The 25172-nt window shown below is 40.4% G+C and overlaps 1 protein-coding gene across 4 annotated transcripts in view; it reads left to right on the top strand.

Annotated features, from left to right (window-relative positions):
- Positions 1-11359: 11359 nt before the first annotated feature.
- The window catches only part of GDPD4 (glycerophosphodiester phosphodiesterase domain containing 4), an 85142-nt gene continuing 71329 nt past the window's right edge, over positions 11360-25172 (top strand). For 3 of the 4 annotated variants that reach the window (XM_011544834.1, XM_047426557.1, XM_047426558.1), the window contains exon 1: positions 11360-11454. The gene's annotated coding sequence lies outside the window, so the exon portion shown is untranslated. The remainder of the gene's footprint in view (positions 11455-25172) is intronic. The other variant, NM_182833.3, reaches the window with a different exon arrangement.

Raw genomic sequence — 25172 nt, 5'->3', positions numbered from 1 at the left:
GCAGTGAGCTGAGATCACGCCATTGCACTCCAGCCTGGGCAACAAGAGTGAAACTCCATCTCAAAAAACAAAAACAAACAAACAAAAAAAACAGAATTCTTTCCAACACATCCTGCAAGGGTCCATCTGGACTTAGGAATTAGGGGATGAGAAAATAACTAGAGTAGTACAGCTGCACTGCAGGGACCTGAACCTAGATATACCTTTCCACACCTTTGCACTTTTTTTTTTTGTTACCCTGATTCTCTTTGGTAGTTGGGAATTCTGCACAATGCCCTATACCAAGAGTGGGCAGACACCAACCTGAAGGCACTGCTGTCTCATGGCTATCTAGTGTAGCTGATCTATCTGAGGTCACACTAACACCTTTATCCTGCATTTGATGTTATTATATACCTTGCCACATGGGCACTGTGCTAGCTTGCCCTCACCCTTGGGTGCAAGTAAATGCAGTTCAACTACTATGGGGTCATATAAGAAGACAGGGGGTGATGGGGCTACTCCTGTTTTCCTGTTAAGGTGATTGTACTGGGCCAGATGTTATAGATTTTTTCAGAAGAAGCCCCTCACCAGAAATAAGGGAATACCTGAAATTGTAGGAGATAAGTGGAGGGAAGATGCACTACCTTGTTCTTAGATCCCTCTGGGAGGATTGTCACTCAGGCTATCCCACATTCTTCCAGGCATCTCTGATTGGCTGCCAGTGGCTCCTTTGCTAACCTGTCACAATATTGGATCAGCCATCAGTTACTACCTGCAGCAGGGGAGAGCTGGAAACAGTCTAGTGTTTCATAACATTTTACCACTTCCAGCTTCCTCTCCTACTCTGTTGAATTACACTAGACTACCCACCTGCCTGTGAAACTGTCAACAATGGACTCAGGTCTCAATGTCTAGCTTGTCCTCATCCTCTTGGGATGACACAGAATTCCTGGTCATTGGGAAAGGCCTGAAAGCAATCCAACAGGCCTCAGTTAGCCTCTATCCAAGCCCTGTAACCATGACTGTTGTCTTTACTCCACACAGTGCATGCATGCATGTGCACACACATAACTTTGGACTGGACCATGTGTCTCTCCTAGCTTCTTCCTGTGTGGCCAAATGGCCTTGTTTGCCTCCAGAGACCAAGACCTACAACCCTGAGGTAAATACTCAGCTGTTTCATGTTTTCTGGGATCTTCGGGCCCCCACAGCCACAATCTGGCCTAGATACGAAGGAGAAAACTTCCCAGTTGCCAGTCAGGGAGGAGGACTAGGAGTCACAATGTAGTCATATTCCTGGCCAGGAGTAATTGAAACTAAAGACAGTAATAGAAAATCTGCAGTCATTCTAGGCTAAATAGCTAATGGGACCCGTCTAGTCACCCAGTGGATTAGCCTGGACTCCTTAACCAGGGTGGTTTTATTTTTATTTATTATTGCAGTTGCTACTAATGTTAGTATTTTAACCAAAGTGGATTTAGATCATAGAATTGATCTTTATAATCTGACAGACAAAGGGTGGCCTGTACCCTAATCTACACATCTTATTGTTTATGGATTGTGATTAGCAGTAAGTAAAATAATCAGTATTCTGCATACAGGAAAAGGCATATGGTTGTCTAATGGTTATCTAACTCCCATCAGAACTCTGGTACCTCTTCTCTTGGCCGAGTCTGGGCCCCCTTAGCCCTTGACGTAGGGTAGGACTATTCATGGCTTTCTCTATTCCAGTGATTTTCAAAGTGTGGTTTCTGGACCAGCAACATTAGCATCACCTGGGAACTCCTTAAAAATACTAATTCTCAGGGCCCTCCATGGATCTGCAGTCTGTGTATTAATAGACCCTTCAGGTATTTCTGATATAGCTCAAGTTTGAGAACCACTGCCATAGTTGCTGTATTAACCATTCTCCATAGTTGCCTATAGGTTGAAGTGGCATATATTACTGATGGAACAGGGTATGATGCATAGAGGCCACACAGAGATTGGAGGTGGAGAACTGCAGTGGTGGAGAAATACGGCTAACTTGGGCCTTCCCTACAGGCTGGCCTCCCAGAAAAGGAGTTGTCCTTCAAGCTCCATGGAAACTGGCTACAGCCAATGCTTAAGGCAATCAGTCTTAGTAGAATGCTGACCAGGCCACTTGTCTGCCATAACAAGACGTAGACTTTTGCCCCTGCTATTGTCAGGAGACAGCCTGTGCACTCCTAACTGATAAATGAAGTGGTGTAACGGACCAGAGGCCACGGTTCTACCAGCCACGTCATGTATCTATTGGATTGCTGCCCTTGTCAGGCCAGCTATTCTTTGATGTTTCAAGCCCTTTACTCAGAAAGGTGAAAAAATAGCCTTCCTCACTGGCATTTCGGGGCTTACTGGATTAGGAGACACTACACCATCATATTCAGGCAAGGACCAGGCTCTCTTTCATTCCTGTGTGCTGACTCCAAATGGAATGGGCCACAGCGGATCTCCACACCTACTACTCATCCAATAAATGCTGAAGGGAAGATAATATAATTCTTTTTTTGACCCATATAAATTCTTAGTTGAGACACTCTCCTTAAGACCAAAGTCAGGGCCGGGCATGGTGGCTTACACCTGTAATCCCAGCACTTCGGGAGGCCTAGGCAGGCGGATCACCTGAGGTTGGAAGTTCGAGATGAGCCTGACCAACATGGAGAAACCCCATCTCTACTAAAAATACAAAATTAGCCAGGCGTGGTGGTGCATGCCTGTAATCCCAGCTACTGAGGAGGCTGAGGCATGAGAATCACTTCAACCTGGGAGGCGGAGGTTGTGGTGAGCCCAGATAGCACCATTGCACTCCAGCCTGGGCAACAAGAGCAAAATTCCGTCTCAAATAAACAAAACAAAACAAAACAAAAACAAAAAACAAAACCAAAGTCAGATTTACAAGAGAAAAATCATCAGAAGTTTGACATACGTTGACATTATATGGGAGGGGGCTCAGTTCAAAAGTATCTTTCTCAAAGCAGTGGTTTAGGAGCCTTGTTTAAATAGCATTTTAACAAAGAGTAATAAATCCCATAATGGCAAGACAGAGAAGAGCACAGCTGTCTTTTAAGAGGTGTGAAAATGTGGGAAGATTTCTGGGAAATCTGTTTCTGGGAAAATGTTCCCAGATTTCTCTGTGCCTGCTAGTGCCTTCTCTGGGTGGATAAGCAAGTGCTGTTTGTAGTAAGGAAGGACTTACGTTCTGCCATCAGGCGAGTAGAAGCTGAGACAGAGTGTTCCTCTGTGTTTTCAGTGACTTTGACTTAACAATTCTCAATATTTGGGGGAGAAATATGTTGGTTTTCTTCAATGCTATTCTAGAAAGCCTAGTATGTGTGCTGTCTCATCTTTTGGCTTTGTTTGCTCCATGTTATTCAATTATATGAATATGCTGATATTTTCCATTCTTCTGTTAATAAACATTTGGGTTGTTTCCTGTTTGAGGCTATGACGAACAATGGTGCTATGAATGTTGTTATATATTTATCCTGATGTATCATAAACACAAATTTATATCTAGGAGATTGCTATGGTTTGGATATTGTTTGTTTGGCCCCAACAAGTCTCATGTTGAAATGTGATCCCAGTGTTGGAGGTGGGGCCTGGTGGGAGGTGTTTCGATCATGGGGGTACATCCTTCGTGAATGGCTTGGTCTCATTTTGGTGGGAGTAAATGAATTCTCACTTTTAGTTCCCGTGGGAGCTGGTTGTTTAAAAAAGCCTGGCACTTTCTTCCTCTCTCTCTTGCTTTCTGGCTCTTGTCGCGTTTGATCTCTGTGTGCGTCTTCTCCCTTTTCCCTTCCACTGTGAGTGGAGGCAGCCTGAAGCCCTCCACAGAAGCAGATGCTGGTGCCATGCTTCTGGTACAGCCTGCAGAACCAAGGGCCAAATACACTTTTTTTTTTCTTTAGAAATTACCCAGCCTCAGATATTCCTTGATAGCAACAGAAAATCTGACTAAGACAGATACCTTAGGTGTGGAATTACTGAATCATCACAGGGCATATAGCTCTCCAATTTTTAAGGTAATGTCTAAGAGTTTCCCAAAGGGGTTGTACCAATTTACAGGTGTCACTAGTATGGAAGGATACTTTGCTCAACAACCTTGCTAACACTTGATACTGTTAAATTGTTTCATTATAACCAATCTAGTGTGTGTGTAATATTAATAGTATTTCATTGTACTTTTACCCATTTGTAAAGTATCATTTCAAATCTTTTCCTCATTGTTTCTATTGTTACCTTTTTTGTGTATTTTTTGGTTAAAATTCTTTATATATTTTGGATAATTATCATTTTCACTTATGTGTCGTAAAGTCTACTCTGTTGTTTGCTAAATTAAACTTTTTATTTTTCGATAACTTGTAGATTCACATGCAGTTGTAAGAAATAACAGAGAGAGCTTCCACCAGTGGTAGTTTCTCCAATGGTAACACTTTATCAGTTTCCTCCAATGGTAGGACCTTGCAAAACCATAGTAGAATATCTTAAGATACAGTCAAGATGCAGAACCTCTGCATCACCATGAGGATCCCTCATCTTGCCCTTTTATAGCCATACCCACTGCCCCTGCTTCCCCCACTCCCTCCTTATTTCTTTCCTTCTACTTGCTTTAGCTTTATTTTGCTCTTCTTTTTCTAGGTTCTTGAGGTAGAAACATATTATTGATTTGAGATTTTCTTCTTTTCTAGTTTATGCATTTAATCCTATAAAATTCACTCTCAACATAGCCTTAGGTGTGTCCCACAAATTTTATATGTGGTATTCACTTTCATTCAGTTCCATATATTTTTAAAGTTTACACTGAGACTTGTCCTTTGACCTCTGTATTATTGGAACTATGCTTTTTAGTTTCCTAATGTTTGTAGATTTTTCTATTTTCTTCCTGTCATGATTTCTAGTTTGATTCTATGGTCAGAAAATAGACTGTATGATTTAAATCCTTTAAATTTGTTGAAGCTCATTTGAAGGCCCAGAATATGCTATACCTCTATATGTTCCATTAGCACTTAAAAAAAAAACTACACACTGATGTTGTTGAAAAGAATGTTCTATGACTATTAATTAGAGCTTGTTGGTTGATGTTCTGTTTTTCTATGTATTTCCCGATTTTCTGTTTCCTTGTTCTATCAACTGTTGAGAGATGAGTGTTCAAGACTTGAACTATTACTGTGGATTTGTCTATTTCTTCTTTCAGTCCTATAAGTTTTTTGTTCATGTATTTTGCAATTTTGTTGTCCACTGCACACACATTTAGGGTTGCTGCATCTTCTTGGTGGACTGACCTTTTTATCATTATATGATGTCCTTCTATGTTTCTTATAATTTTCTTTGCTCTGAAGTCCAATTTATCTGAGATTAATGTTACCTCTTCTGCTTTCCTTTGATTCATGTTTGCATGTATAACTTTCTTCATCCATTTACTTTCAACCTGCCTATATTGTTATCCATGAAGTGAGTTTCCTATGGACAGCATATAGATAGCTCATGAGTCCTAGTCTGTATCTTATCCTAAGAAGTCACACAAAAATCAGACCATGTGTCCTGATTTTTATTTATTTATATTTATATTCTGCCTTTTCCCACAAGGATTGGAGAAAACCTATAACATGAATATCTACAATGAAACAATAATAAGTAAATACAGGTAGAAAGTCAGGACCAAGAAAAAGATGGGCATGAATATGTTGATCACAAGGGCTAAGGTATTGCCATACTTAAGCTTAAATTTGAAATTGAACTTTCTGACAAAGTGCCAAGGTAATTTGTGTTATTTGCATTATCAGGACAGAGAAAGAGAGAATATCCCAGTTACTTATGATTCTAAATATACTTTCTGCAATAATGGATTCTATATCTGCATTGTCCAGTATGGAAGCCACTAGCCACATGTGGCTATTAAGCACTTGAATTGTGGCTAGTCAGTAAGGAATTGAATATTAAATTTTATTTACTTTGTATTAATTTACATTTAAATAGCTAGTAGCTACATTACTGGACTAGTAGCTATATTACTGGTTCATTATGTGGCTGGTAGCTACATTACCGGATAGCAAAGGCCTAAAGGAAACAACGCAGTACAGTGTAATTGGAATCAAGTGTGCTGTGTTTAAATTTTGGCTCTGTCACAGTGTTTGTGACCTTGGAGAAGCTACTTAACCCTTCTGAGCTTCAGTTTCCAGATCCAGAAACTGAGTATAATAATAGAACCAGAGCCAGACATGGTGACAAGCACCTGTAATTCCAGCTACTGGGAGGCTGAGGCAGGAGGATTGCTTATGCTCAGGAGTTCAAGACCAGCCTAGGCCACATAGCAGGACCCTGTCTCAAAACAAAACAGTACCTACTTTTGTGGTTCTGAGGAAAGAGTAATGTATGTAAAGCATTTAATACAATCCCTGGCACATGGCAAATACAGTTCTATTTTATAATGCTCGAAATTACCTGGTTTGTTAGGAGACTACGACAACTCTCTTTCACTGGCACTAAAAGGGAGGTTTTACAGAAGAATCAATAACTGGGAGTCTGAGTTGTGCTTAAGCATCTTAGCCAGTAACTAGTCTCTGGCCATAGAATCAAATGTCAATCAAACACTGATTTTTAAAAACTTGTATCCATTTGAAGTTGCTTGAGGGTACTTTGTTCGAAAACCTGGGCCTCTTTTTGTTTTCCTGTTAAGCTGCTGAGGGATTAAGCACCTAATATTACTATTTAGTATCTCTTTCAACTTGTAGTTCAACTTTTCTTCATCATGAGTGTGTTAAAAGCAAATGTATTAATTTCAATGACCTTTCACTTAATAGGAGATTCATGAGGGAGGATGGCCTTCCAACAAGAACTACAACATATATAACCAGCCAGTGGCTCACGCCTGTAATCCCAGCACTTTGGGAAGCGGAGGAGGGGTGGATCATTTGAGGTGAGGAGTTCGAGACCAGCCTGGCTAACATGGTGAAACCCCGTCTCTACTAAAAAAAAAAAAATACAACAATTAGCCAGGCATGGTGGTACATGCCAGTAATCCCAACTATGGAGGCTGAGGCAGGAGAACTGCTTGAACCCAGGAGGTGGAGGTTGCAGTGAGCCGAGATCACGCCACTGCACTCCAGCCTGGGTGACAGAGCGAGACTCCATCGCAAAAAAAAAAAAAAAGAAAAAAGAAAAAAAAGAAAAGGAAAAAGGAGATTCATTACTTTTAATAAAAGTGACACTCCTTGAAACAAGAATACATGCATTTAGCAAATATAATGTCCAAACTTTGGGTTTGATACACTGCTGCTGCCCTGTTGACTAGGGTCTGGCAAGCCTCAGCATGCTGCCAAGAAAGAGAAATCAGAAGCTGGCACTCAACAGCGAGGTGCCATATGCTTCCACAGGTCCTGAGTTTATCCCTTTCTTTATGTCACTTTTATCATTGTGTAGATTTAAATTACTGCCTCTTAAAACAACCCTTGACTAGGCCGGGCGCAGTAGCCTCTTAAAACAACCCTTGACTAGGCCGGGCGCAGTAGCTCACACCGGTAATCCCAGCACTTTGGGAGGCTGAGGCGGGCAGATCACCTGAGTTCAGGAGTTGAAGACCAGCCTGGCCAACATGATGAAACCCCATCTCTACTAAATATACAAAAATTAGCTGGGTGTGATGGTGGGTACCTGTAATCCCAGCTATTTGGGAGGCTGAGGCAGGAGAATCGGTTGAACCTAGGAGGCAGAGGTTGCAGTGAGCCAAGATCATGCCATTGCACTCCAGCCTGGGCGACAGAGTGAGACTCTGTCTCAAAAACAAAAACAAAACAACAACAACAACAGAAACCCTTAACTATCCATTCTTCAATCCAAGGAGTGATAAAATTGCTCTTGTAATAATGAGAAAGCTACAAAGGGTTGGATGACTATTGCCTAGGCTTCAGGCAGCAGAGAAAGTTGGAAATTGGCTGTGTTTTTATAACATTACTAGCTGAGAAACCTTTCCTATACACGAAGGCCTAGGTGAACATGTGCCATTTTAGATGTTTAAAGAGCGAATGGTGTGTGTGTGTGTGTGTGTGTGTGTGTGTGTGTGTGTGTGTGAATACACGTTTGCAAAATATTTGAAATAGGGCCTTATGGACTACAGCGAATTGTTATTTTTAGCAGAATTCTCCAAAAGATGATAATGCAACAATGATTACTAAAAAAAAAAACTTTATCTGAAGTTGGTTTGCTCCTCATGGAAACTATTAGACTAAGAGACTACTCTCCAGAATAAAGCTGGAGTTTTGAAGAAATGACTAGCATACAGTTTGCAGTTTTGAAAGAGGATTTTTTTTAAAACTGAGTCTTAACACAATCTTATTTGAGTTTATTACACTTTTTGCCTAGGATTAGACAAAACCCACCAGACTTTAAACAATATTTACTGGAAAAGGATCATTTAATTAGCTAAATAATGAGCCTACAAAATTGAGTCAGTTCTGTTGGCTGTTGGGACAATACAGCTGGGAGAAAATCTTTCCCAGATATTAGTGGGAACCTGTGGTTTTTAAGAAACCACATCAGGTCATCAAGTCTACCTTCATTACTGATTTTAACAGCCAGGGTTGAAGCCTCCTACAGAGATTAATTGAATATTTATATACTTTGAAATAAGAATGTTACAATTTCACTTATTTGATAAACTCTTTGGTACCATTTTTTATATTCTGTTTTACCTGCTTTAGTTTTGTCTTGCTTTTTGATGTACCTTTAAAAGCAGGAGTAACAGCATCAGGCCTGTATATGCTCAAACTTGGGACCAACCACCAGAGCTTATTTCATTGTCTGTTGATAAGAGAGGAGGGAAACAGGGAAACTCTCTCAAGAAGCAGTCAAAATGGAGTTTCAAAAAATCTTCATATCACAAAGATTGTTTTTGTGGCACTCAGTGGGTGCCAACAGTTTACTACTGTTCTGTCAAGCGTTAAGCTAGGGTCCAGAATGGAAGTTAGGAGGGAGAGGGTAAATATCTCAAGTTTCAATCGACATCTCTCCCTCTACACTATCACTGACCCATCATCCAAGCTAACAATCTCTCTTCAGGATACTGCCAGATCCTTCTAACTGGTTACTGGGAGGCACGCTCCAGAGAATTCAGCTGGGTCAGAAAAGATGCAGCCTAACTGCCTAATTCCCTTTAAGGGTTGATGGGTCTGTAGCTTCTGGCTATTTATGTAACCAACCAATTGACTGACATGTGCCAAGCATTGTAGAAGGCATTGGGAATAAAGAGATCAGTTAGATATTGTCTCTCCCGCAGGTAGATTACAATTAGAAGGGGGAAGCAGAAACTAAAACATTAGCAAAACAAAATAGGTAATTATATTCAATGTGGCTAGGATAGTAATAAGAAGTTTATTTGGAGGGATATATAGAACACACAGGAGAAGGTAGTTAATCAAATCTGGTGGTGAGAAATAGGGGTGAGGCTGAACAAAGAAGGCTTCCTGAATTGAGCCTCACACTAAGAGAAGGAGTGTTAGCCCGGTCAACTTTGGGAGTGTATAAGCCTGCCAGTAGGGACAGCGTGAATAAACATACAGAATGGTGTAGGGGAGTAGAACAAGAGGTTTGCTTTGCTGAAGCTTCAATGTAAGTGGTGATGGAGGAGAGTTGGGGGCAAGTTGAGGCTGGAGAGAAAGGTGAGATCCAATTTAAGGAGCTTTAATTTTTGGAATGTGTTTTAGGCATAGTCAGATTTGCATTTTTAAAAGATCAACAGTTGGTCTTAGATTTTGGGAGAGGTAAACTGGAAACAGTGAGGCGCTTTGGGAGTCTGCTGCAGTCTACCTTAACGTAGCGGTATTAAGCTGGGTTGGCATGTACTGAGATGATTAGGGCCTAGTGGGCATTGAAATGCAATAAGATAATGACTAGGCGAAATAGGAAGTATCCTAATAAGCAGAATTTGGTCACTCTGTGTAAGGTGGAGGGTTGGGGGGTTGCAAAGGAATAGGAGGAGTTGAGGATGAGACATCTGTTTCACATCTTGTCATTTAGTGATTTAGAGCCATAGAAGATGGAGCAGACATGAAGGGAAAGATAATGAATTTAAGTTAGGGTTTACTGAGTTTGAGGTGTCTGCAGCAGGACGGCCAGATTGAAGGCCAGTGGCTGGCAGTTGGAGATAAAGGTCTAGAGCTCAGGAACGAGGTCAGAGTCAGAGAAATGGCTAGAGGAATCAAAGATTAAACAAACAAAAGCGAAAACAGGCCCATTTGTGGCCCTTTGAGTGGTTGAAACTGGTTTAAAAAAGGTAAGGCAAAGTGGGGATGGTTACTGGGTACAACAGATATATAGTTAGAATAAATAGGATCTAATATTTGACAGCACAACAAGGCGACTACAGTCAGCAATTATTTATTGAACATTTTTAAAAATAACTAAGAGTGTAACTGGAACGTTCATAACCCAAAGAAATGATAAATGCTTAGGTGATGGATACTCAGTGTACCTGATGTGATTCTTTTTTTTTTTTAGATGGAGTTTCACTCTTGTTGCCCAGGTTGGAGTGCAGTGGTGCTATCTCGGCTCACTACAACCTCTGCCTCCCAGGTTCAAGTGATTCTCCTGCCTCAGCCTCCTGAGTAGCTGGGATTACAGGAATCCACCACTGTGCCCGGCTAATTTTTTTGTATTTTAGTAGAGACAGGGTTTCATCATGTTGGCCTGGCTGGTCTCGAACTCCTGACCTCAGGTGATCCACCTGCCTCGGCCTCCCAAACTGCTGGGATTACAGGCGTGAGCCACTGTGCCTGGCCTCCTGATGTGATTCTTACACATTGTATACCTTTATCAGAATATCTCATGTATTCCTACTATGAGTTGTATAAATAATACACTTATTATGTACCCATAAAAATTAAAAATTTGTTTTAAAAAGGCAGAAAAAATAGTTAAAAATAAAATAAAATAAAGAGGTAGCCTGGGCGTGGTGGCTGGGGGGCACAGGGCTGTAGTCCCAGCTACTCTTCAGGCTGAGGCAGGAGGCTGCTTGAGCCCAAGTTTGAGGCCCAGACTGGGCGACAAGACCCCGTCTCTTAAAAAATATATAAATATATAGATAGATGTATATATATATATGGCAATTTTATGAATAACTGGGATACAAAAAATTGGTAATGCTTGAACTAAGTTATTAACAAGGACTAAACTTAAACAGTCAAGTTCTTTTTGTAAGAACCAAACCAAACCAAAAACAAAGAGAGCATACCTTACCGGACATTTAAAAGGTGGGGCTCTGAGCCAAGGCTGGGGGTCTGGCCTTAGCTTCAGCCTTGCTCTGGCACGGGGTGTCCTTGACCACGCCCACAGCCCCGCCAGGCCGCCCCCTCCCGCCCCGCCTCCCTCGGGCTGCCCTTCCAGCCAGGCGTCCATCTTAAGAGACGCTGGTCTCCTCAGGCGTGAAGATTGGATTTGGGTTGGGACTGGGAAGTCTCGGTAAGTAAATGTGCCCAGTTCCGTGCTTCCTCCCTAAGCAGCACCAGAAGCAGGAAGTTCTATTAGTATTATTAGTCGGCGGCCAAACTTGAGGCCCTTTGACGTTGTTCGCTCACTCTGTCGGGTCGTTTGTGTCCCCTCTCGAGGATTACGGGCCTGGACCTCCTGTTCAGTATCTGACAGTAGCGGCTTCGTGTATTTTCTAGTTTTCTAGTTGTTAATGGCGAAGGGGATAAAAATCAGCTTCGACTATGCCAATCCTGGGCGGCAACCCTTGGGTTTTGATCTCATGAGCTGGGGAATGGCGGTGACCTTTACTGAGATGGGACAGATTGCAGGAGGAATCGATTTTAGAGGGAAAAAACATCAGGGGTTCAGTTTTGGACATATTACTTTTGAGGTGCCTGTGAGAAATCCAAATGGAGATTTCAGTAGCCTGTCGGATATATGAGTGTAGAATTCAGAGAAGAGCTCTGGGAAGGAAACAGTGTTTCTCGATCTCCCCTTAAATATTAGGAATTTTCATGTAAACGTGGCTACGCTGGCTGGTGCTTAGACACAAAGTATCTGCAGGTGTGTAGACAATGGTGGTGGTAATTATTCTGGTTAAAAAGCTGCCTTTTATTCGATATCCAAGCAGCTTACCATCCTCCCATAGAGCTTTTTGTTCATAACGTCTGCCCTTGGACACCCCAGTATTTGCAATTAGTCACACCAAGTTCTATATATATGCAGTAGTTTCATCATTAACCAACTGAAAGTTTTTTTCTCATTTCCATTGTGATTTTTCTTTGACCATGCGTAGGTTTCTGTGTGTTTAATTCCCAAATGTGCAATTTGTTTTTCTTACTGATTTCCAGTTAAATTGCACTGTAGTCAGAAGATATATTCTTAAGATGTCAAGGTTTATTAAAACCAATTGTGATTTTTGATAAATATTCCATGTCCATTTTAAAGTACACTCTGCATTTGTTGAGTACAGTGTTCTATAAATGTTAAGACTAGTTAATCAACTTTTACAGTCGTCTATATCCTTACAGACTTTTTTTCTGCTTATTCTGTTTTTTTTTTAAGAGGTGTGTTAAATCTCCTACCATGATTATGCATTTGTCCATTTCTCCCTTAGAGACTAGGTGATTGGGTACTGTTATAGTTTCGGTGCCGCAAAAGAAATAGCACTCAAATATAAAATTTTCTTTTTAATTCTTAGCAAGGCAATATACTTCTATAGAAGGGTGCACCCTTACATATGGAGCAATGGTGAGCACACACTTGGACAAGGGAGGGGAAGGGGTTCTTATTCCTGACACACGTGGCCCCTGCTGCTGTGTCGTTCCCCTATTGGCTAGTGTTAGACCGCACAGGCTAAACTAATTCCAATTGGCTAATTTAGAGAGAGTGACGGGGTGAGTGGTTTGGCGGGAGTGAGGGTGGAGCAGGTGATCAGGATGAGTCAGGGCAGAGCTGGTAATCAGAATGAGTCAGGATGGAGCAGGTGATCAAAAAAGGTTGCTTTACGAGGAAGTTTAAAAGTAGAAGGCAAAGAATTGAACATACTGACATATTGATTCTTTGAAGAGAAATTTAGAACTCATATCTAATAGTACTTACAAATTGCAAATTAAAATTTTTGTTTTTTCACATTATGAAATGTCCCTCTTTGTCTCTAGTATTGCTTTTATGCCTCATAGTTTACTTTGCTTGTCATATAGAGAGGTAGATTGTATTATTTGACTCCAACTGTTCACCCTTCCCTTAGTTACATTCTTTGTGTTCACACCTTTTTCTGTGTAACTTTACTGTGACCAACCACCATGAGGTGACCTGCGCTGATTGTTGACTTTGGGCTCAACCATATGAACAGACATCCGGTGAGGCAGAGGCTTGAAATGGGCTTGCATTTGGGACTTACTCTCTTGGACAACTTCCAACACCATGAGAACATACCCAGGCCAACCTGGTTGAGTGACACATGAAGGAAAGCCAAGTCATCCCAGTCATTCTAGCTGAGGCAGAACAGATCAGCAGAACAGATAGCCCATTAGCTCAGATGTGTGAGCAATAAACTCTTACTGTTAAATGTGGAACATACGCTCTAGGAGGTAAAGACAGACAATAAACAGTAAACTTCCTAAATAAATACATTATATAATGTTTTATTTTCTATAGAAAAAAAGTAGAGTGCAATAGAGGAGTTAGAAGGAGGGAGCAGATTGCAGTATTAAATAAAGTGGTTAGGGTTGACCTTGTTGAGAAGGTGACATTTGAGCAAGGAATTGAAGGAAGTGAGGTAACTACTACTTTTGAGGGTGAGATAGTCATTTAGGATTTCTTCCATCTTTGGGCAAATTAATGGGACAGAATACCTAATTCTTATAATCGGGATGCTGATGGTATTCTATGGGGCTGGTGAGAAGCTGTGGGGTGGTTGGTGTTGCCTAGCAACTGCTACCTCCGGCCCCTGTCTCATAAAGAGGGTCCAGGATGGGAATGTGTGATACTCTGGGTGAGAGGGATTACCTGGTTTTCATATGAGGCCAGTGTGAGGACTAAACGCTGATTTTTTTTTATCTTGTCCAAATTCCTGTCTAAGGGGTCTGGGGAGTCATGCCCTACAAACCATAAATTCTCATCAGATGGGTTTTATTTAACCCTAGAGTCATGCCCTACAAACCATAAATTCTCATCAGATGTGTTTTATTTAACCCTATATATCATGATTTTCTTTCCAACCTGACTCTGGCATAACAATATAAGTCAAAAAAGAAAAAAATATTTTACCCCAAAATATGTTTCTTTGCCATATTTTGAAATGGCCCTCAAAGCTGTTTTTTTGTGGGGTGGGGGCGTGGCATCTGTAAAGAATCTCTGTTAACATAGCTAGATCTTTTTCTTCCAGACCCTTCCGATCCTAAAGAGATTAACTAAGATCTGAATAGGAAACATTTGTCACCTATTGTCTCTAAGAGCAGCCACTATAAGACTTCAAAACAAGTTTGGTCTCCATAATCTTTATCTTAACATGACCATTCCCTTTCTATCTATCCCAGGTCTTTAGACAAACTCAACCATTGTCAACCAGAAAATGTTTTTAAAAAAAATTTTTTTTTGAGACCCCAGGCTGGAGAGCAGTGGCACCATCTCTGCTCACTGCAATCTCCGCCTCCCGGGTTCAAGCAATTTTCATGCCTCAGCTTCGCAAGTAGCTGGGATTACAGGCGTGCGCCACCACACCTGGCTAATTTTTGTATTTTTAGTAGAAACGGGGTTTCACCATGTTGGTCAGGCTGGTCTAAAACTCCCGACCTCAGGTGATCTGCCCGCCTTGGCCTCCCAAAGTGCTGGGATTACAAGCGTGAGTCAGCGCGCCTGGCCTGATTATACTTTTCTACTGTCACTTAAAGATGATTTGCAAGGAAATGGAAGGCAAATGTATGTGCCCAGTTCCTTTTCTTAAACTGAATCTCCAAGATCTTTTTATTTCAATCTTTTTTTTTTTAAAAAAACGAAACAACAACAAAAAACTGTAGGTAGTCTTTATTTTCCCTGTCTTTTTCAGCTCCCTCCTGAACTTCCAAAATGTCTTCATTTATGCTCTGAGGCTGGGTTAATCACTCTATTCTCCATGCTGCCTAGTGTATTGTATAGATGTTTATTCTAGAAGTTATTACATTATATTATACTTAATTGCTAATATACATTTCTTCCACTATATTTAAATCTTATCAATGATAGCTTTGACTTATCACTTTGCCCTTGACGCATAACCTAATGCTTGGTCATTTGAGTGCTCAAAGTGTGCTGAATGGATAACAATTATTATATTGAAAGCCAACATTCAGTTTACAGTATTTCCAGAACTAAGTTCTTCACGTCTATTGATTCACTCAATAATCCCCACAAACTATATGGATATGTACCATTATCATCCACATTTAAAGATGAGAAAACTGAGGTACAGAATACTTACATAACTTGCCTAAAGTTGCACAGCTAAATATGGCAAAGCTGGGATATGAAACCTAGGCAAGGAGCTCCAGAGCATCTACTTTTTTTTTTTTTTTTTTCTGAGACGGAGTCTCGCTCTGTCGTCCAGGCTGGAGTGCAGTGGTGGGATCTCGGCTCACTGCAAGCTCCGCCTCCCGGGTTCACGCCATTCTCCTGCCTCAGCCTCCCGACTAGCTGGGACTACAGGCACCAGCCACCGCGCCTGGCTAATTTTTTTGTATTTTTTAGTAGAGATAGGGTTTTACCGTGGTCTTGATCTCCTGACCTCGTGATCCGCCCACCTCGGCCTCCCAAAGTGCTGGGATTACAGGCATGAGCCACTGCGCCCGGCCCAGAGCATCTACTTTTTAAATTATGAACTATTTAAAATATACAGGAAAATATAACCCCATATATTTATAATTGTTAACATCTTCCAATATTTGCTTTCTCTTCTTTTAGATGAAGTATTTGAAAGTGAATTGCAGACACCATACATTTTACCTGTAAATACTTTGTGTGAAACTCTAAAGGAATTTTTTTGTTTTTTTTTTTTTGTTTTTTTTGAGGCAGTCTCCCTCTGTCCCCCAGGCTGGAGTGCAGTGGCGCGATCTTGGCTCACTGCAACCTCCGTCTCCTGGGTTCAAGCGATTCTTCTGCCTCAGCCTCCCGAATAGCTGGGACTACAGGCGCACACCACCATGCCTGGCTAATTTTTGTATTTTTAGTAGAGACGGAGTTTCACCTGGCCAGGCTGGTCTCGAACTCCTGACCTTGTGATCTGCCCGCCTCGGCCTCCCAAAGTGCTAGGACTACAGGCATGAGCCACCGCACCCGGCCAAAAAAGGAATTTTTTTTTACACAGCCATATCATCATTTTCACACCTAAAATTAGTAATTTACTAAACCAACTGAATGTAAATCAGTTAATAACCAAATTTCTACCAATTTCCTCCAGAAAGTCTTTTCACAGGTTCCAATCAAGATCTATACATCTGGCCGGGTGCAGTAGCTCACACCTGTAATCCCAGCACTTTGGGAGGCCAAGGCGGGCAGTTACTTGAGGTCAGGAGTTCAAGACCGGCCTGGCTAACTTGGTGAAACCCTGTTTCTACTAAAAATACAAAAAATTATCCGAGCATAGTGGTGCGTGCTTGTAATGCCAGCTACTCAGGAGGCTGAGGTAGGAGAATTGCTTGAACCCGGGAGGTGGAGGTTGCAGTGAGCCGAGAGCACGCCATTCCACTTCAGCTTGAGCAACAAGAGTGAAACTCAGTCTAAAAAAAAAAAAATTAATTAAAAAAATAATCCATACATCAATTCATATACTTACAAGAAATTTCTTTTCTTTTTTTTTTTTTTTTTTTGAGACGAAGTCTTGCTCTGTCCCGCAGGCTGGAGTGCAGTGGCGCGATCTCTGCTCACTGCAAGCTCCACCTCCCAGGTTCACGCCATTCTCCTGCCTCAGCCTCCTGAGTAGCTGGGACTATAGGCGCCCGCCACCATGCCTGGCTAATTTTTTGTATTTTTAGTAGAGACGGGGTTTCACCGTGTTAGTCGGGATGGTCTCAATCTCCTGGCCTCGTGATCTGCCCGCCTCGGCCTCCCAAAGTGCTGGGATTACAGGCGTGAGCCACCGCGCCTGGCCAAGAAATTTCTAATTAAGATAAAATTTGCATACACTAAAATTCACCCTTATTTAGTGTATAATTCTGCAAGTTTTGACAAATGCATATAATTGTGTAAGTACCATCAAAATATAGGACAGTTTTTCTCCCAATCTGTGGCCTGCCTTTTTACTTCTTAGGAATGTCTTTTGAAGACTAGAAGTTATTAATATTGATGAAGTACAACTTATATGTTTTTTCTATTATGGATCATGCTTTTGGTGTTATACCTAACAAATCTTTGCCTAAAGCAGGGACACAGATTTCGTCTATGTTTTCTTCTGTAAGTTTTATAGCTTTAGGTTTTATTTATTCATTTAGAGACAAGGTCTCATTCTGTCACCCAGAATGGAGTATAGTGGCCCCATCATGGCTTGCTGCAGCCTCAACCTCCCAGCTCAAGTGATCCTCTTGCCTCAGCCTCCTGAGTAGCTGGGACTACAGGTGTGCGCCACCACATCTGTCTAATTTTTGTATTTTCTGTAGAGATGGGCTCCCACTATGTTGCCCAGGCTGGTCTCAAATTCCTGGGCTCAAGTGATCCTCTAGCCTCAGCCTCCCAAAGTGCTGGGATTACAGGCATGACCTGCCACACCTGGCCAGCTTTAGATTTATATTTAAGTCTGTGATCCATTTAATTTTTACAAAGAATGCAAAGTTGTGGGCTGGGTGTGGTGGCTCATGCCTGTAATCCCAGCACTTTGGGAGGCTGAGGCGGGCAGATCCTTTGAGGTCAGGAGATCCAGACCAGCTTGGCTAACACAGTGAAACCCCATCTCTACTAAAAATACAAAAACAAAAACAACAACAACAACAAAATTAGCTGGATGTGTTGGCATGCACCTGTAGTCCCCGCTACTCAAGAGGCTGAGGCAAGATAATTGCTCCTGGGAGGCAGAGGTTGTAGTGAGCTGAGATCGCCTTCCACTGCACTCCAACCTGGGTGACAGAGGGAGACTCTGTCTCAAAAAAAAAAAAAAAAAAAAAAAAGCAAAGTTGTAGATTGAGGTTCATTTTAGGTGAATATCCAGTTGTTCCAGAACCATTTGTCAAAAAACCTGTCCTTTCTCCATCCTTCATACTTCTGTCAAACATGAATAGACCATATATATATGGGCCTTTTTCTGGAACCCATATTCTGTTTCATTGATCTCTATGTCTGTCTTTTTGCTGATTCCACGCTATCTTGGTAACTGTAGCTTTATATTAAGTCTTGAACTCAGGTAGTTTGAGTCAAAATACATTTTTTTTCAAAATTGTTTTGGCTAGTCTATTTCCTTTGCCTTTCCTTATAAATCTTAGAATCAGCTTATTGATTTCTACAAAAAAAGTCCTCAGAGATTTTGATTGGAATCATGTTGAACCTGTAGATCTGTTTGGGGAGAATTGAGATTATAACAATATTGAGTCTTCTAATCCAAGAAAGTGGTACTTAGATTAGAAGACTCAGTATTGTTATGAGTCTTTACTTGAGTCTTCTTTGATTTCTTTCATCAAGTATCTTATAGTTTTCAGCATGCAGATCCTGCACATATTTTGTTAGATTTATACCTAAGTATGTGTTTGTTACTATTGTAAATCATCATTTAAATTTAATTTTTAAATAAATGTTTCATCTTGGAATAATTTTAGATTTACAGAAAAGTTACAAAGATAGTACAGACAGTTCTTGTATACTCTTACCCAGTTTCAGTTTCCCCCAGCATTATCCTTTCACTGTGGTTCATTCGTTAAAACTAAGATAACGTTAGTACATTACTGGTAACTAAACTTCAGATATCATTCAGATTTCACCAGTTTTCCCATTCATGTTTTGCTGTTTCGTGATGTAAATAGTGATTTAAAATTTTTACCTTCTATTTGTTCATTTCTAGTCTATAAAAATTTTTGATTTTTGCATCTAGTTCTACCTTGCCAAACTCACTTATTAATTCTAAGTTTTTTGTAGAATTTTGGAGATTTTCTACATAGATAATATTGTTGTCTGCAAATAGAGTTTCTATTCTTTATGCCTTTTATTTCTTTTTCTAGCCTTATTGCACTGGCTAGGACTGCCAGTACAATGTTGAACAAGGTTGGTGATAACAGACATCCTTGCTTTGTTTCTGATCTTAGAAAAAAATCATTTAGTCTTTAGAAAGCAATCAATCTTTCACTATTAAGTTTGAAGTTAGCTATTGGCTTTTAATATATTCTCCATATAAAGGCATAATATTCGCCATTCTATTCCTAGTGTGCTGAGGGTTTTTGTCAGGAATGGAGTTTGAATTTGCTCAGAAGTATTTTATGTATCTATTTAGATGGCCATATAGTTTTAGTTTGATAGTATGGTTAAGTTTATTGATTTTTTTTTTTTTTTTTGAGACAAGGTCTCTGTTGCCCAGGCTGGAGTGCAGTGGTGTGATCTTGGCTTACTGTAACCTCCATCTCCAGGCTCAAGCAATCCTCCTGCCTCAGCCTCCCAAGAAGCTGGGACTACAGGGATGTGCCACCACACCCAGCTAATTTTTGTATTTTTTTGTGGATACAGGATTTGGCCATGTTGCCCATGCTGGTCTTGAACTTTTGGGCTCAAGCAGTCTGCCTGCCTCAGCCTCCCAAAGTTGTAGGATTACAGAAGTGAGTGACCATGCCTGGCCCCAAGTTGATTGATTTTTGAATGTTGAATAATCTTTGCAGTCCTTAGGAAAACTACACTTGGTCAGTATGTATTGATGTATGTTAAGAATTTTTGCATTTGGATTCGTAAGGGATATTGGTTTGTACTTTTTTCAGGATATCTTTGTCTGGTTTTGGTGTCAGGATACTGGTCATATGAAATGATTTGGAAAGTCTTCCATTCTCTTCTAATGTAAGAGTTTCTATAGAATTGGTATTATTTCTTCCATAGATGTTTGGTAGAATTCACCAGTGAACCCGTTGTTGTTGTTTTTTTTCTTTTTCTTGATGGGAAGGCTTGTTTAACAAGGCTTTTTAACAAGGCTTTTTATTTTTAATTTAAGTAAAATTCAATTTACTTGATAGATAAAGGGCTATTCAAGTTTTCTATTCCTTCTTGAGTGAGCTTCAGTAGTTTTTGTCTTTCAAGGAATTTGCCCATTTCATGTATCTATAGAATTTATGGGAATGAAGTTGTACCAAATTCTTTATTGCTACTCTTTTGATGTCTCTAGGGTCTGTGGTGATGGTTCCCTCTTATTCCTGATATTGATAATTTGTGATTTCTCTCTTGTTTAATCTCCTTAATGATCCTGGTTGGAAATTTATTAGTTTTGTTGGTCTTCTCAAAGAACCAACTTTTGATTTCATTGATTTTTTTTCCTATTTTTTCTATTTAATTATCCATTGTTATTATTCCTAATCTTCTGTTAACTTTGTGTTTAATTTGCTCCACTTTTACTGATTGTCTAAAGATGGAAATTGAGGTTATTGATTTTGAGATCTTTGTTCTTTTCTAGTACGGGCATTTAGCATTATAAATATCAATCTAAGTATTGCTTTAACTATACCTTACAAATGTTTCTATATTGTGTTTTCATTTCTATTCAGTTCAAAAGGTTTTAATTTCCCTTTTGATTTTTTTTAACTCAGAGTTACTTAGAAGTTGCTATTTAAAATATTTAGGAGTTTTCCAACTCTCATTAATTTCTAATTTAATTCTAGTATTTTCAATTCTGTTTTCCAATTCTAGTGTTTTTTAAGTCTACTCTATCCTGCTTACTGTTATTGAGAAAGGGGTATTGAAATCTCTGACTATAATTTTGGATTTGTCTGTTTCTCATTGGAAGGTCAATGAATTTTGATTTATGTTACTTGAGGGTTTTTTTTTGTCATTTTGCAGATTTATTAATAAAATTGAAAATGTGTATGATCAGATACCAAAAACACATCAAGTATGAATAATAATAATAATAATTTTTTTTTGAGACTTTCACTCTTGTTGCCCAGGCTGGAGTGCAATGTTGCCATCTTGGCTCACCGCAACCTCCACCTCCTGGGTTCAAGCAATTCTCCTGCCTCAGCCTCCCAAGGAGCTGGGATTACAGGCATGCGCCACCATGCCCAGCTAATTTTGTATTTTTAGTAGAGACGGGGTTTCTCCATGTTGGTCAGGCTGGTCTCAAACTCCCGACCTCAGTTGATCCGCCTGCCTTGGCCCCACAAAGTGCTGGGATTACAGGCATGAGCCACTGCTCCTAGCAAGTATGAATAATTATATATTAACTCTCAAATATGTAAATGTCTATGCTGATGGAAGAAACAAAAGGAAACATTAGAGTTTCTAAAAATTTTTATCAGTACATAATGTTTGTACTTATTTATTGTATACATGTGATATTTTGATACATGCATAGAATGTGTAATGGTAAAATCAGGGTATTTAGGATATCTATCGCTTTGAAAATTTATCATTTCTTTGTACTAGGGACATTTCAAATCTTCTAGCTATTTTAAAATACAGAGTATATTGTTACCTGTAGTCACCCTACTATGCTATCAAACACTAGAACTTGTTCCTTCTCTCTAACTGTATGTTTGTACTTATTAACCTACCTTTCTTCATCCCCCTGCAACCCCATGTCCTTCCCAGCCTCCGGTAATTATCATTCTACTCATTACCTCCATGAGATCAACTTTTTAAGCTCCCACATGAGTGAGAACACACAATATTTGTCTTTTTGTGCCTGACTTATTTCACTGAACATAATGACCACCAGTACCATCCATACTGCTGCAAATGACAGAATTTCATTTTCTTTTTATGGCCGAAGAGTATTGCATTGCATATATAAGCTCATTTTCTTTATCCATTTGTCCATTAATGGACACTTAGGGTGGTTCTCTATCTTTGCAATTGTGCGTAGTCCTGCAATAAACATAGGGATGCAGGTATCCTTTTGATATACTGATTTCCTTTCTTTGGATAACTACCAAGTGGTGGAATTGCTGGATCATATGGTTACTACAATATTTTAGTTTTTTGAGAAATCTCCATATTGTTTTTTATGGGCTGTACTAATTTATGTTCCCACCAACAGTGTGTAAGAGTGCCCTCTATCTTTGCCAGCTTCTTTATTTTTTGTCTTTTTGATAATAGCCCTTCTAACAGGGGTAAGATAATGTCTCACTGTGGTGTTGATTTGCATTTCCCTAATTATTAGTGATATTGAACATTTTTTCATATACCTGTTGGCTATTTGTATGTCTTCTGTTGAGAAATAGAAGGGCTTTGGTTTGTTCTTGGTTTTCCAGTTCCTTGAGGTGCATAATTATTTATTTGAAATCTTTCTACTTTTGATGTAAATGTTTATTGGTATAAGCTTCCCTCTCAACATTCCTCTTGCTGTATCACATAGGTTTTAGTATGTGTTTTTTAATTTCATTTGTTTCAATAATTTTTTTTTCTTCTTAATTTCTTCATTGACCAATGGTCAATCAGGACCAAGTTGTTAAAATAATTTCCATGTATTTTTACAGTTTCAAAAATTTCTCTTGTTATTGATTTCTACTTTTTTTCCATTGTGGTCAGAAAAGATACTTAATGTGATTTAGATTTTTACAAATTTGTTTAGACTTGTTTTGTGACCTAACATGTAGTCTATCCTGGAGAATGTTTTATGTGCCGATGGGAAGAATGTGTATTCTGTAATTGTTGGATAAAATGTTCTGTATATATCTGTTAGGTCCATTTGGTCTTTGTTTTCTTTCAGGCCATCCTCTCCTATCGTGTAAGATTTCTACTGAGAAATCCACTATTAGTCTGACTGGTTTCTCTTATGTGTGACTTGATGCTTTTCTCTTGCTGTTTTTGGAATTCTCTGTCTTTGGCTTTTGGCAGTTTGACTATAAAGTGCCTTGGAGAAGACCTTTTTCGGTTAAATCTATTTGGGGATCTTTGAGCTTCCACTATCTGGATGTCTGAACCCCTTGTAAGACTTGGGAAGTTTTCAGTGATTATTTTATTAAATTGGTTTTCGATGCTTTTCCCCACCTCTTCTTCTGGAATATCCAAAATTCGAGTACTTGGTCACTTTATGGTTTTCAAAAATGTCATGTAGGGTTTCTTTATTCTTTTCCCTCCCTCCTCCCTCCCTTCTCCCTCCCTCCTTTCCTTCCCCTCCCTCCCTCCCTTCCTTCCCTCCCTCCTTCTCTCTCTCTCTTTCCCTCCCCTCCCTCGCTCCCTCCTTCCTTCCCTGCCTGCCTGCCTTCCTTCTTTTTTGAGATGGAGTCTTGCTCTGTCACCCAGGCTGGAGTGCAGTGGTGCAATCTCAGCTCACTGCAACCTCCGCCTTCCAGGTTCAAACAATTCTTCTGCCTCAGCCTCGCAAGTAACTGTGATTATAGATGTGCACTACCATGCATGGCTAATTTTTTATATTTTTAGTAGAGACGGGGTTTCATCATGTTGGCCAGGCTGGTCTCGAACTCCTGACCTTAAATGATTCCCCCCACCCCCTGCCTCGGCCTCCCAGAGTGCTGGGATTACAGGCATAAGCCACTATGGCCAGCCGGCCTGCCTTCTCTCTCTCTTTCTCTCTCTGTCTCTTTCCGTCTTCCCTCCTTTTCCCCTCCCCTCCCCTCTTTTTTGAGATGGAGTATTGCTCTGTCACCTAGGCTGGAGTGCAGTGGTGCGATCTTGGCTCACTGCAACCTCCGCCTTCCAGGTTCAAGTGATTCTCCTGCCTCAGCCTCCCAAGTACTTGGGATTACAGATGTGCACTACCAAGCCCAGCTAATTTTTGTATTTTTTATTAGAGACGAGTTTTCATCATGTTGGCCAAGCTGGTCTCGAACTCCTGACCTCAAATGATCCATCCACCTTGGCCTCCCAAAGTGCTGGGTGTGAGCCACAGTGCCCAGCCAGGCTTCCTTCCTTCCACTTTTCCTTCTCTTTCTTTCTCTCTCCCGCTTCCCTCCCCTCCCCTCCCCTCCTTCTGTTTCTTTCACCTTACTGGGTTATTTCAAATGACTTGTCTTCAGGTTCTGAACTAATATCTCCTTATTGAATTATCTCATTCGGATTTTGAATTGTTTTTCTGATTTCTTTGTATTATTTATCTGTGTTCTCTTGTATCTCATTGAGTATATTTAATATTGTTATTTTAAATTATTTGTAGGCATTTCACACATTTCTTTTACATTGGAATCTCTTGCTGGATAATTATCACATTACTTCGAAGTTGTCATGTTTCCTTGCTTTTTCATGTTTTTTGTGTCCTTATGTTGATATCTGCACATCTGCTGTAACAGTTGCCTTTTCTAATTTTTTGGGTTGGCTTTCATAGGGGAAGATTTTTTTTTCTTGTAGATGTATCTGTAGAGTTGGTTGGGTGGGGCACTTTAGTTTTTATTCTGGGTTCATGCAGTAGTATAGTCTCCCTGGGATTTCTTTGGCTGTAATCAATATCAGTGGTGTCTATGATTTTGTCAGTGGTTTAGGCTCTGGTTGTTAGCACAGGCTGTGGTGAGACTTTGCTGGGAATGGGGAAATCAGGCAGGCCAATCCTCAGGCCCCAGTGGTGGTGGTGGCAGGCCGATTGTTCCTGTCCTTGGACCCCTGGCCAGTGTACACAGGCACTGGTGTTAGCAGGTCGAGGTGGGCCAATTTTTAGGTCTCTAGGTGGCTTGCTTGGGTACTGGCAGTGTTAGCAGTGTGCAGGGCAGGTGGGTGGGACCTGGAGCCCTGGGCAGCATGTGTGGTATCAGCGATGGCAGTAGTGTTAGGGGGCCAATCTTTGGTCTCCCAGGTAACATGCACTGGTGCTAGCAGTGACAGCAATAGGATGGGTGGGTCAGTCTATAGGTCCCCAGCTGGCATGTGTGGGTAGGCATTGGTGGTGGTAGTAGTGCCAGGTGATGTTGGCCTGTCCTCAGGCTCCTTGATGATGTACACAGGTGCAGGTTGTGGTAGGTGCCTGTGTTCTTAGTGCCATTGTGAAGCCACATGCTACATATTTTGTTCTATCTCTGAAATATTTTTTGTTGGCAAAGGAAAAATAAACTTGTCACATTTCAGCCATTGTTGTTTTGAAGATTCCATCATTCATAATTGAAGCTAACCCT

This window comes from Homo sapiens, chromosome 11 (assembly GCF_000001405.40).
Source record: "Homo sapiens chromosome 11, GRCh38.p14 Primary Assembly".
In the NCBI taxonomy this organism is placed as follows: Eukaryota; Metazoa; Chordata; class Mammalia; order Primates; family Hominidae; genus Homo; species Homo sapiens.
The sequence above is the reverse complement of the archived record's forward strand: the minus strand, read 5'-3'. Positions and strand labels throughout refer to the sequence as shown.